The sequence below is a fragment of the Homo sapiens genome, chromosome 13, assembly GCF_000001405.40.
Source record: "Homo sapiens chromosome 13, GRCh38.p14 Primary Assembly".
In the NCBI taxonomy this organism is placed as follows: domain Eukaryota; kingdom Metazoa; phylum Chordata; class Mammalia; order Primates; family Hominidae; genus Homo; species Homo sapiens.
Window position 1 is genome coordinate 49,749,604 of NC_000013.11, and position 12,964 is coordinate 49,762,567.

Below are 12,964 nucleotides of genomic sequence, written 5' to 3' on the forward strand. Positions count from 1 at the left end.
CAAGGTGGTAATCTCCAGTCTAAAAGTACTATACCCATGAAACGAACCATATGACTTTTGTGACTGCTTACTAATACATATTTATATATGCAGCATAATTCTAAGATTTGTGTATATAACTCACTAGTAGCAAAACTTCAAAGGCGAAAGTATCTGTTACCCTCACCTATCTCTAATAATTAAAGACCACTTATTCACCCGAAAGAATCATATAAATGTAAATGGCCAAACTCACTTAGGTCAGTTAAGAAGAGGAGGTACTGACTACCATACCTAAGTACCTCTGAGTTAGTCATGACTTACTATGCTCTTTGTTTAAATTACAGAAAAAGATGGACTCCCTTATATTCTCCCTTATATTCTTCCCAAGTGATCTCATCTACCCTCATGTCTGCAATTACTGCTTCATGACCACTCCCAAGTATCTATTTTTAGTCCACTCTGTCTCTTAAGCTCCTAATCTATAAGTCATTCACCCATTCAACAAAAATTTACTCAATACATTTAAAATACATTGGGCAATACATTTGCCAACCGGGAAGCAAGTACAGAATTCACAGTCTAGCACAGGGATCGGCAAACTATAACCTGTGTATCAAATCTGGCAGGCTATCTGTTTCTGTAGGTCCCAACAGGAATGGTTTTTACATTTTTTAAGTGGTTACATTATAAATGATATTAAGTACCTACATCATGCTCTTATTTTTGCCTCTTTGCCCTCAAATGCTAAAATATTTACTATTTGTCCTTTTAAGGAAAAGTTAGCAGACTAGGTGCAGTGGCTCACGCCTGTAATCCCAACACTTTCGGAGGTCGAGGCGGGAGGATCACTTGAGCACAGCCATGCTCAGCTGATTTTTCATTTTTTGTAGAGGTAGTATCTCATTGTGCTCATGTGTGCACCTACAGTTCCAGCTACTTGGGGGAGCTGAGATGGAGGATTGCTTAAGCACAGGAAGTCAAGGGTGCAAGGAGCCATGATGGTGCCACTGCATTTCAGCCTAGGTAACAGAGTGAAACCCTGCCTTGGAAAAAAAAAAAAGGTTTGCCAGCACCTGGTCTAGTGGAAATGAGAGTAATAATGAGTGATAAAAATGTGTTAAGCTGGCCGGGCACAGTGGCTCATGCCTGTAATCCCAGAACTTTGGGAGGCCAAGGCAGGCAGATCACCTGAGGTCAGGAGTTCAAGACCAGCCTGGCCAACATGGTGAAACCCCATCTCTACTAAAAATATCAAAATTAGCTGGGCATGGTGGCGCACGCCTGTAATCCCAGCTACTCAGTAGGCTGAGGCACAAGAATTGCTTGAACCTGGGAGGCGGAGGTTGCCATGAGCCACGAGTGGGCCACTGCATTCCAGCCTGGGCAACAGAGTGAGATTCTGTCTCGAAAAAAAAAAGTGTTAAGCTTGAGATAGGAAAGTAAATGTTAAGATCTGTATCAAGAGGAGATATAATCAGAGGGACAGAAAAAAGCTCCCAAAAGAATTAAAATATGTGCATATGTGTGTTAAGGGCTGGAAGAGAGATGGTTTAAAGGCTTCAAACTCAGTATGCTTAAAACTAATATACTTGTTCCCTTCCTAACACCCTCACCAAAAAGATCCCCCACATCTCCTCTCCTGTCAATACTCCTAATGTTAGGAAACTGTACAACCATCCAAATAGTTTCAAGAGACCAATCCTGGAAGACTATCCCTGTCTACTCACTTTCAATCCTCTGAAATCAAACAAGTCAACCAGAACAGGATTCAAACCTCCCAGCTCCACGGCCACTATCTAAGAGTAAGCCACCATCATCTAATCTGGACTACTAAAATAGCCTAACTAGTCTCCTTCCATGCACTGAATCAATTTTCCACAATGCAGCCGGGGGGGTTCTTTTTAAAATGCAAAATCTGTGTCATCTTTCTCTTGAATAAAATGTGTCAATGATTTTTTTCATCTCTTGGCATCCCCTGCCCCACACAAAAAATGTCATCAGAATAGCCAAACTTAAACTCCACAGACAAAACCTACAAGAGGGCCAGGCACAGTGGCTCATGCTTGTAATCCCAGAACTTTGGGAGGCCGAGGCGGGAGGATTGCTTGAGCCCAGAAATTTGAGACCAGCCTGTGCAACACAGTGAGACCTGTCTCTACAAAAAAATTAAAAATTAGCCAGGTGTGGTGGCGTGCACCTGTGGTCCCAGCTCTTCAGGAGGCTGAGGCAGGAAGATGGCTTCAGCCCAGGAGGTCAAGGCTGCAGTGAGCCATGATCATACCACTACACTCCAGCCTGGGTGATAGAGACCCTGTCCCCAAAACAAGCAAACAAACGACACCTACAAGGTTGGGAGACAAAGTATTCTAACGAATTCTCAAATACAAGCAGGGTCTGGTTAAATCACCAGCTACAGGATTCATATGCATATATGCAGAAGAAAATGGAAGGGCAGAAGTTATGGGGCGATTGAAGACCCTGAGAACAAGAGAACTCCCAAATCATGAATGACTAGAGACTTTGGAAAGGCAACTTGAGAACAGTTGCAAATGGAAGGGATCTTTTGCACACATCAACATTGTTAAGTATGATGGAGCTAGACACAAAATCAAAGAACTAAAATCCTCTTCCTGGACAATGTCCTACAATGAACAGAGCCAGACCTCAGAAAATAGGATGCCAATGCCACCCCCTTAAAAAAAAAATCATCTTGTAACAAACAACAGAAGAAAAAGATCTTGAGTGGTGAAACTAGAAAGGCTACTCTGACCCACTTCTTGCTCTTAAAAGTTCAGGAAAATCTATCAAAAAATGGACAGGAAAGGATTGGCGTTGAAGCCCATGCTGTAAGAAATGAGAGAATAGGAAACAGAGTGTTGCTATTGAAAGCCTACTGAAAAGACATATACACAAAAGTGATAAAAACTATCCTAGAAAATGATAGAAAATGTGAAATAACATTATCAATCAGAATTAGAAAAACTCAGAAATGAGGTCCTAGCAATCAAAAAAGAATTAGAAATAAAGCAAAAAATTATTTCAGAAAGGAACCTAGCCAAGAGCAATCTTAAGAGCCAGTAAACAACAGATAATGCTTAAGAGAAACAGAATATGTAAAGAAAAAAACTGTAATCAGAAATGAAGGTGAAAATTATCAGAAGGGCTGGGCACGGTGGCTTACGTCTGTAATCCCAGCACTTTGGGAGGCCGAGGCGGGCGGATCATGAGGTCAGGAGATCGAGACCATCCTGGCTAACACAGTGAAACCCCATCTCTACTAAAAATACAAAAATTAGCCGGGCATGGTGGCGGGCGCCTGTAGTCCCAGCTACTCGGGAGGCTGAGGCAGGAGAATGGCATGAACCCGGGAGGTGGAGCTTGCGGTGAGCCGAGATTGCGCCATTGCACTCCAGCCTGGGTGACAGAGCGAGACTCTGTCTCAAAAAAAAAAAAAAAAAAAAAAAAAAAGAAAATTATCAGAAGGAAGTGACAATAAAGGCACTTAGATTTTAAATTCATATAATAAAGACTCCTCAAATAAGAAAACCGAAGCAATGAAATAGAGCAAATACTTAAAACTATAAATCAAAAAAAACTTCCTGAAATTAGAAGACTTGAACTGAAATACTGAAAGTACACCCAAGTACCTGGGGAATCCATCCAGAAAAACCAACACTGAGAAATATACAAGTGAAACTAACGGACTTCCAAAAAGAAAAGAAGAGAAAATTGCATCTGGACATTAGGCAAAAAATATTGAAAATGTGAATCAAGGACTTTATATCCAGTCAGAACCACTAAATTTAAAGTATACAAGTGGCAAAACAACTGTTATAAACACAACTCAAGGACTACTGTTTATATGAGCACTTTCTGAAGAATCTAATAGAGAATGGTCACCACACAACCAAAATAACTGGAGAGACACTGATAAAAGGTGACCGTGAGCAATGAATTTATTTACCTGTAGAACTAAGATTAAATAGTCCTTATAAGGTAGGCCCAATCCCTGGGCCGTGAACTGGTGCCAGTCCATATAGCCTGTTAGGAGCCAGGCTGCACAGCAGCAGGAGGTGAGCATTATGGCCTCAGCTCCATTTCCTGTCAGATCACGGTTGGCATTAGATTCTCATAGAAACACAAACCTTGTTGTGAACTGAGCACGTGAGGGATCTAGGTTGTGTGCTCCTTATGAGAATCTAACTAATGCCTGATGATCTGTGGTGCAACAGTTTCAACCCGAAACCATCCTCCCCGACCCGCCATTCATGGAAAAACTGTCTTCCACAAAACTGGCCCCTGGTGCCATAAAGGTTGGGGACCACTGTTATAAGGGAAAAAATACAGTATTTAACTGCTACATGCCCTGACAATGTAGACACAAAATTGAAAGGAAGACAAAACATGCATATGAAATACTGAGTAAGTGGGCCAGGTGCAGTGGCTCTCGCCTGTAATCCCAGCAATTTGGGAAACTGAGGCGGGTGGAGCATTTGAGGCCAGGAGTTCAAGACCAGCTTGGCCAACAGGGTGAAGCCTCATCTCTACTAAAAATACAAAAAATAGCCGGGTGTGGTGGTTGCACCTGTAATCCAATCCCAGCTATTCCCGGAGGCTGAGGCAGAGAATTGCTTGAACCTGGGAGGTGGAGGCTGCAATGAACTGAGATCACGTCACTGCACTCCAGCCTGGGTGACAGAACAAGACTCCATCTCAAGAAGAATAAAAACAAAAAAACAACTAAGTGTATTGATTGCCTTATTAACTATTAACTGGTGAGAAAAGGAAATTGCATCACATCAGATGCTGAAGTAGAGCAGAAAAGAGGTTAAAGCAGTGCTGAGAGAGAAATTTAAAGCACCTAATGCAAACATTAAGAAAGAGAGAAAGTCTCAAACCAATAATCAAAACTCCCAGCTTCGACACCCTACAACATAAAAAGCAAAACAAACCCAAAACAAGCAGAAGGAATAAACAGAAATCAATGAAATTGAAAACAAAAAGTAGAGAAAATTAATGAAAAGCTAGTTCTTTCAAAAAAAAAAAAAAATCAGCAGACTGGCCAAAAAAAAAGAGAAAATGCAGAGTTATAATATTAGAAATGAAAAAGGTACTATCACTACAGACTTTGCAGACATCAAAAGAACAAGGGAAAACTACAAACAACTCTACACACACAAATTTGACAATTTAGATGAAATGGACCAATGACTCAAAAAGCAAGAACTATCACACCTCACTCAATATGAAATACCTAATTTGAATAACGCTGTTAACTATTAAGATGATTATATTTGTAATTTTAAAACTTCCCTTCAGGGTTTGGATGGTTTAACTAGAGAATTCTTCCAAATGCCTAAAGAAGAACTAACACCAATTTTATATAATCTCTACAAAAAACAGATGGGTACACTTCTCAATTCACTTTATGAAGCTAATTACAAAATTACCTGAATAACAAAACCAGAAAAGACAGCATTAAAAAAAAAAGAAGAAAAAGAAACTGCAGGCCAATATTCTCAATGACTGCAGATACAAAAATCCTTATCAAAATGTTACCAACTAGAAGTCACTATACTAGCAGGCTTCATTCTAGTGATACAAGGCTGGTTCTGTATTTGAAAATCAATCAATATAAACCATACTAATAGACTAATGAAGACAAATCAATGATTATATTATTCAATGCAGAAAAAAATGACAAAATTCAACATCCATTTATAGTAAAAACACTCAGAAAAATAAAAGCCTAGAGTTAACATTCTAGTGGTGAAAAGTCTGAATACTATGTTTCCCTAGATTGAGAACAAGAAAATGGTGTCCACTCTCACCACTATTATTCAACATAGTATAAGAAGTTCCAGCCAGTAAAATAAGGCAAGAAAATAAAGTAAAAGGCATATAGATGCAAAAGAAAGAAAATAATCCCAGCCAGGTGCTGTGGCTCACTCCTGTAATCCCAGCACTTTGGGAGACTGAGGAGGGCGGATCACGAGGTCAAGAGATCAAGACCATCTGGTCAACATAGTGAAACCCCATCTCAACTAAAAACACAATTAGCTGGGCGTGGTGGTGCACACCTGTAGTCCCAGCTACTCGGGAGGCTGAGGCAGAGGAATCGCTTGAACCCAGGAGGCGGAGGTTGCAGTGAGCCGAGATCGTGCCACTGCACTCCAGCCTGGCGACAGAGGGAGACTCCATCTCAAAATAAAAAATAAAATAAAGAAAACAATCAATTATTTGCAGAAAAGATGATTTAAAAATTCCAAGGAATATACCAAAAACTTTCCAGATCTATTAAGTGAGTTCAACAATGTCACAGAATACAACATAAAAATCAATTATATTTCTATATACTAGCAATGAACACATAGACACTGAAATTAAAAATACAAACAACAGCCGGGTGTGGTGGCTCACATCTGTAATCCCAGCACTTCGGGAGGCCGAGGCAGGTGGATTGCTTGAGCCAAGGAATTTGAGATTAGCCTGGGCAAAATGGCAAAACCTCATCTCTACAAAAAAAAGCAAAAAAAAATTTAGCTGGGCATCGTGGTATATGCCTGTAGTCTCAGCTACTGGGGAGGGTGAGGTAGCAGGATCTCTTGAGCTCGGGAGACGGAGGCTGCAGTAAGTGGAGACTGTGCCACTGCACTCCAGCCACAGCGACAGAGATAGACCCTGCCTCAAAACAAACAAACAATGCTGGATGATGGCTCAAGTAATCCCAGTGCTTTGGGAGGCCAAGGAGGGAGGACTGCTTGAGCCCAGGAGGTCAAGACCATACATAGCGAGACTCAGCTTCTACAGAAAATTTAAAAATTAGCCAGGTATGGAGGCAAGTGTTTATTGTCCTAGTTACTTGGGAGGCTGAGGCAGGAGGACCGCTTGTGTCCAGGAGTTCAAGGCTGCAGTGAACTATGATTACACCACTGCACTCCAGCCTCAGTGACAGAGCAAGATCCTGTTTCTAGCTTAAAAAAGAGAAAAAATGGAGGGGCATATTGTGTTCATAGATTGGTAGACTCAACTTGGTAAAGATGTTGATTCTCCTCATACTGATATACAGGTTTAATGCAATTCCTATCAAAATCCCAGCAATATATTTTGCAGATACAGAATTATTCTAAAATTTATACGGAAAGGCAAAGTAAGTAGAATAGTTAAAACAATTCTGAAAATGAAAAACGAAGTGGAAGGAATCAATCTAGCCAATTTCAAGATATATTACATAGTTACAGTAATAAACATTGTGTGATATCAGTGGAAGAATATACACATTGAAAAGAACAGAGAACCCAATATAAGCCTACACAAATATATCCAACTGATTTTTTACAAAGGTGCAAAAGCAATTAAATGGAGGACATCAATAGACTTTTCAGCAAACAGTGCTGGACCAGATAGATATTGACAGACAAAAATATTAACCCTGACTTAAGCCTCACACCTTAAAAAAAATTTAATTCAAAATAAATGTGAAACTATAAACTTTTAGGAAAAACCACAGGAGATAATTCTTTGGGATCTGGGGCTAGGCAAAGAGTTCTTAAACTTGACCGTAAAAAGCATGATCCATAACAGAAATAGTTGGTAAACTAGACCTCATCAAAATAAAAAACTATTTTGCTCTTTGAACACCCATGTAAAGAAGATAAAAAGAGAAGCTAGAGACTAAAAAAAAAAAATTTGCAACCACATATCCAAGAAAGGACTAGTATCTAGAATTAAAAAACAAAAACAAAAAACCTCTCAAAGCTCAACAGGTAACCAACCAACCAATGGAACTAGAAAATGGGCAAAAGAAATGAAAAAATATTTCATGGAAGAGGATATACACATGGCAAATAAGCACATGAAAAGATGTTCAATACTATTAGCCATTAGGGAAATGCAAATTAAAACCACCATGAAATCTTATTATACATCTAAAATTTAAAATTGTGATACTTTCAAATGCTGGTGAGTATGGAGAGTTTTCATACATTGCTTGTGGGAATGTAAAATGACAGCACCTTTGGCCATTTCTTAAAGTACACATGTAACAACCACAGGACCCAGCAACTACACATTGGACATTTATATGAGATAAATGAAAACTCATCTACACACACACACACACACACAACCTGTACGCAAATGTTTACAACAGCTTTATTCTTAATAGCTACAACCTGGAAACAACCCAGGTATCCTTCACGCTTAAACTGTGGTACATCCATACCATGGAACACCATATAGCAATTAAAAGAAACAAACTGCTGATACAAACAATGACTTGGATGAACATAAATACTGTACGAGCATCTTGCAAGATGTTACCACTGGGGAAACTGGAGAAAGGATAAACAGGATCTCTGTGTTATATTTTACAACTGCATGTCAATCTACAATCACCTCAAAATAAAGGTCAGTTTTTAATAAAAATTTTAAAGGATATACATCAGATGCTGAGGGGGAAGGAAAAGAGAAGGTCACAACTAATTTCAATAATGTACATGATGGGGAATCAATAGAAAATAACTAAGAAAGAGAGGACTAAAGAAAACAAAAACAAAACCACAAACTAGAGGCCAAAAGTATACTAAAACAAAAAATAAAACAGATCACATACAATGATTATTTTACACATAAATATATAGGTGATGACAAGGAAACTAGGACTTGACTTTAAAACCATGAAAATAAACTGCGTATGAATATGACAAAATCAAATTTAACAAGAAAAGCAATCCCTAAAAATAAAGAAATGAACCTAAACGTGTATCCATTTGGTAGCATAATCACACTATCCTGTGTAACTTTTCAACACAGCAATTTAACCCTGCATCTCCAGTTAACCCTAAAGAGAACTACCAGGAAAACTCCAAACTGTTCTCGGTAACCCTATTACTGGGTGCAGCGCTGCTGGTGTTGTTATTCTGAGACTGTTATGTGTCTATGTGGAATAAAGCAAATGAGTAAAAATGTCATATTCTATTATTCCTGGTGTCAGAAAAAAACAGGAAGTTTGGCCTAGGAGAAAGACGGATATATGATAGAAGTTGTTTAGTAAAATCCCATAGTCCTGAATTTGAATTGGAATATCAATATATGCATTATATGTGTGTGTTTATGTGTGTATGTATGTATATAAATATGCATATAAATATGTATACATATAAATATACACACACACATATGTTTATATACATACACACACACACAAAATTTTGTTTTAATCCTATATCTATCCACCCCAAGATGTCTACTTGGAGATGTGTATCTCCAACGCCTAGAAACAGTGACCAAATCAGTGAGTGCATAGACAATACTCTCAAAAATACCACCAATAGCAAACAGAACTGGTTCATTCCAACTAATGGGCAGAAAAGGTACAAGGTAAGCCTGCAATATCTTAACATACCAAATATCAAAGATATTTACGAGACTAGAGTCTTGTAAAAACTACTCAAGAGCTAACATGAAGAGGCTCCAAATGTTCAAAGACAATACAATTATTATCAATTATCAATAAGACAATGAATTCAAACACACATAGATTTCAATCTGTAAATCCAGGAAATGGAAATAAAAACCCAAACAACTAAATTGTCATCACTGAAGGATGATAATGAACTACCTCATTATTTTGAAAACTGATAAAGGAAAAGAATCAAGCATTTATTTTACTGTTTCTAAACAAATTTTATCATGGGGTAATCTAACCAATTAATAAATGAGAGGAAGGTTTCTCTTAATAGATGTAGTCTAGCTCAGCTGTTCCCAAACTTTTTGGCACCAGGGACTAGTTTCACAGAAGACAATTTTTCCATGGACTAGGAAGTAGAAGGAGTGGTTTCAGGATGATTCAAGTGCATGACATTTATTGTGCACTTTATTTCCATTATTATTATATTGTAATATGAAATAATTACACAACTCACCATAATGTAGAATCAATGGGAGGCCTGAGCTTGTTTTCCTGCAACTAGAGGTCCCATCTGGGGATGATGGGAGATGGTGACAGATCATCAGGCATTAGATTCTCATAAGGAACATGCACCTAGATCACTCGCATGCACAGTTCACAGCAGGGTTTGTGCTCCTTTGAGAATCAAATGCAGCTGCTGATCTGACAGGAAGTGGAGCTCGGGTGGTAATACAAGCAATGAGGAGCAGCTGTAAATACAGATGAAGCTTCACTTGCTTGCCTGCTGCCTACCTCCTACTGTGCAGCCCAGTTCCTAATGGGCCACGGACTGGTAGTGGTCCAGGGTTGGGGATCCCTGGTCTAGCTTAAAGAAGGAGTGATAGATTATCACCATTTTACAAATCCTAGTAAATAACAGACTTAGACAATGTTCCTCAGTGGTGATGTCAACATAACAGAAAGAGACAGCCAGACACTACGTGCCTTTCTGATGGAAGAGAAAACCATCACATATGATGCAGTCATGTTCCCAATTCCCCCAAATCATCTGAATCTGATAAAGCCTCCAGCTTCAACTTTGAATTTACAGGAAATACAGAGGGCCAATACACATGTCAAGTGACATGATAAGATGTAAAATCCAGCCGGGCACGGTGGCTCATGCCTGTAAACCCAGCAATCCAAGAAGACTGCTTGAGCTCAGGAGTTCAAGACCAGCCTGGGCAACATGATGAAATCCCATCTCTACCAAAAATACAAAAAACAACTCAGCCAGGAATGGTGGTACATGCCTGTGATTCCAACTACCCAGGAGACTGAGGTGGGAGGACTGCTTGAGCCCAGGAGGCAGAGGTTGCAGTGAGCCAAGATCACACCACTGCACTCCAGCCTGGGTGACAGAGTGAGATCCCATCTCAAAAAAAAAAAAAAAAAAGCAAAATTCAGATTATGAGAACCTCCATGAACCCAGTTTCTCCAACAATAAAGTGCATAAAAAAGACAAAGATGGTGAGATTAAGAGACCATAAATTAAAAAGGAGACTTTGAGTTCACATCAATCAATCAATCGCAATGTGTGGACCTTGTAATAGTTGATTCCAGGTGTCAACCTGACTGGATTAAGGGATACCCAGATAGCTGGTGAAAGCATTAATTATCCTCAGTGGTTCAGACAGCACTGAGCTCGTCCCTCTTCTGCTGAAAGGAAAACCCGGGCGGTCAGGCATTTGATTAGAATGACTGGGCTGTCCCAGTGCCTGTGAGGGTATTTCCTGAAGAGACTGGCATTTGAGTTAGTAGACTGATAGGGGAAGTTTCACTCTCAATGTGGGTGGGCAGCATTCAATAAGCTGGGGCCCAGATGGAACAAAAAGAGGAGGCAAGAGTAATTCTTGCTGTCAGAACTCCAGATTCTATGGTCTTCGGATTCCAGGACTTGCACCAGCACTGCTGCCCTTTCCCCCCATGATCACGTTGGCAAGTGTGATAATGGTATCGTGTTTTTAAAAAGAATTCCTATATTTTAAATAACATACATATTCTTAATAACAAAAAAGTAGGACAAAAACAGTATATGTTACTTCTGAAAGACGTCATACTTTGGGAGGTCACCTGTTCTACAACAACTGGATCCTGGCTATTAACAGAAAAAAATATTTTTTAATGCAGTGCTGATGTCATATAAGTAGTAGAGAAGAGGGTCCCTCTCCCTCTCCCTCTCCCCACGGTCTCCCTCTCCCTCTCCCCACAGTCTCCCTCTCCCTCTCCCCACGGTCTCCCTCTAATGGCGAGCCGAAGCTGGACTGTACTGCTGCCATCTCGGCTCACTGCAACCTCCCTGCCTGATTCTCCCGCCTCAGCCTGCCGAGTGCCTGCGATTGCAGGCGCACACCGCCACGCCTGACTGGTTTTCGTATTTTTTTGGTGGAGACGGGGTTTCGCTGTGTTGGCCGGGCTGGTCTCCAGCTCCTAACCGCGAGTGATCTGCCAGCCTCGGCCTCCCGAGGTGCCAGGATTGCAGACGGAGTCTCGTTCACTCAGTGCTCAATGTTGCCCAGGCTGGAGTGCAGTGGCATGATCTCGGCTAGCTACAACCTCCACCTCCCAGCCGCCTGCCTTGGCCTCCCAAAGTGCCGAGATTGCAGCCTCTGCCCAGCCGCCACCCCGTCTGGGAAGTGAGGAGCGTCTCTGCCTGGCCGCCCATCGTCTGGGATGTGAGGAGCCCCTCTGCCCGGCTGCCCAGTCTGGGAAGTGAGGAGCGCCTCTTCCCGGCTGCCATCCCGTCTAGGAAGCGAGGAGCATCTCTGCCCGGCCGCCCATCGTCTGAGATGTGGGGAGCGCCTCTGCCCAGACGCCCCGTCTGGGATGTGAGGAGCGCCTCTGCCCAGCCACGACTCCGTCTGTGAGGTGAGGAGCGTCTCTGCCCAGCCACCCCGTCTGAGAAGTGAGGAGCCCCTCCACCCGGCAGCCGCCCCATCTGAGAAGTGAGGAGCCCCTCCGCCCAGCAGCCGCCCCGTCTGTGAAGTGAGGAGCCCCTCCGCCCGGCAGCCGCCCCGTCTGGGAAGTCAGGAGCATCTCCGCCCGGCAGACGCCCCATCCGGGAGGGAGGTGGGGGGCAGCCCCCGCCCGGCCAGCCTCCCCGTCCGGGAGGGAGGTGGGGGGCAGCCCCCGCCCGGCCAGCCGCCTCGTCCGGGAGGGAGGTGGAGGGCAGCCCCCGCCCGGCCAGCCGCCCCGTCGCGGAGGGAGGAGGGGGGGCGCCTCCGCCCGGCCATCGCCCCGTCCGGGAGGTGGGGGGTGCCTCTGCCCAGCCGCCCCTGCTGGGAAGTGAGGAGCCCCTCTGCCCGGCCACCACTCCGTCTGGGAAGTGTACCCAACAGCTCATCGAGAACGGGCCATGATGATGATGGCGGTTTTGTGGAATAGAAAAGGGGGAAATGTGGGGAAAAGATAGAGAAATCAGATTGTTGCTGTGTCTGTGTAGAAAGAAGTAGACATAGGAGACTCCATTTTTGTTCTGTACTAAGAAAGATTCTTCTGCCTTGGGATGCTGTTGATCTATGACCTTGCCCC

The 12,964-nt window shown here is 42.1% G+C and overlaps 1 protein-coding gene across 2 annotated transcripts in view, besides 4 other annotated features; it reads right to left on the reverse strand.

Annotated features, from left to right (window-relative positions):
- The window catches only part of KPNA3 (karyopherin subunit alpha 3), a 93,363-nt gene that overhangs the window by 50,284 nt on the left and 30,115 nt on the right, over window positions 1–12,964 (reverse strand). The gene's annotated exons all lie outside the window — the stretch shown is intronic.
- Window positions 783–1,283: an enhancer, noted in NCBI's record as "H3K4me1 hESC enhancer chr13:50324522-50325022 (GRCh37/hg19 assembly coordinates)". NCBI's record gives its function as "activates a minimal SCP1, AML or CMV promoter by ChIP-STARR-seq in primed H9 embryonic stem cells {active_cell/tissue: H9 hESC(primed)}" and the evidence as "EXISTENCE:reporter gene assay evidence [ECO:0000049][PMID:30033119]".
- Window positions 10,005–10,074: a silencer, noted in NCBI's record as "silent region_5346". NCBI's record gives its function as "represses an Ori minimal core promoter by ATAC-STARR-seq in GM12878 lymphoblastoid cells {active_cell/tissue: GM12878}" and the evidence as "EXISTENCE:reporter gene assay evidence [ECO:0000049][PMID:35858748]".
- Window positions 11,163–11,883: an enhancer, noted in NCBI's record as "H3K27ac hESC enhancer chr13:50334902-50335622 (GRCh37/hg19 assembly coordinates)". NCBI's record gives its function as "activates a minimal SCP1, AML or CMV promoter by ChIP-STARR-seq in naive H9 embryonic stem cells {active_cell/tissue: H9 hESC(naive)}" and the evidence as "EXISTENCE:reporter gene assay evidence [ECO:0000049][PMID:30033119]".
- Window positions 11,884–12,604: an enhancer, noted in NCBI's record as "H3K27ac hESC enhancer chr13:50335623-50336343 (GRCh37/hg19 assembly coordinates)". NCBI's record gives its function as "activates a minimal SCP1, AML or CMV promoter by ChIP-STARR-seq in naive H9 embryonic stem cells {active_cell/tissue: H9 hESC(naive)}" and the evidence as "EXISTENCE:reporter gene assay evidence [ECO:0000049][PMID:30033119]".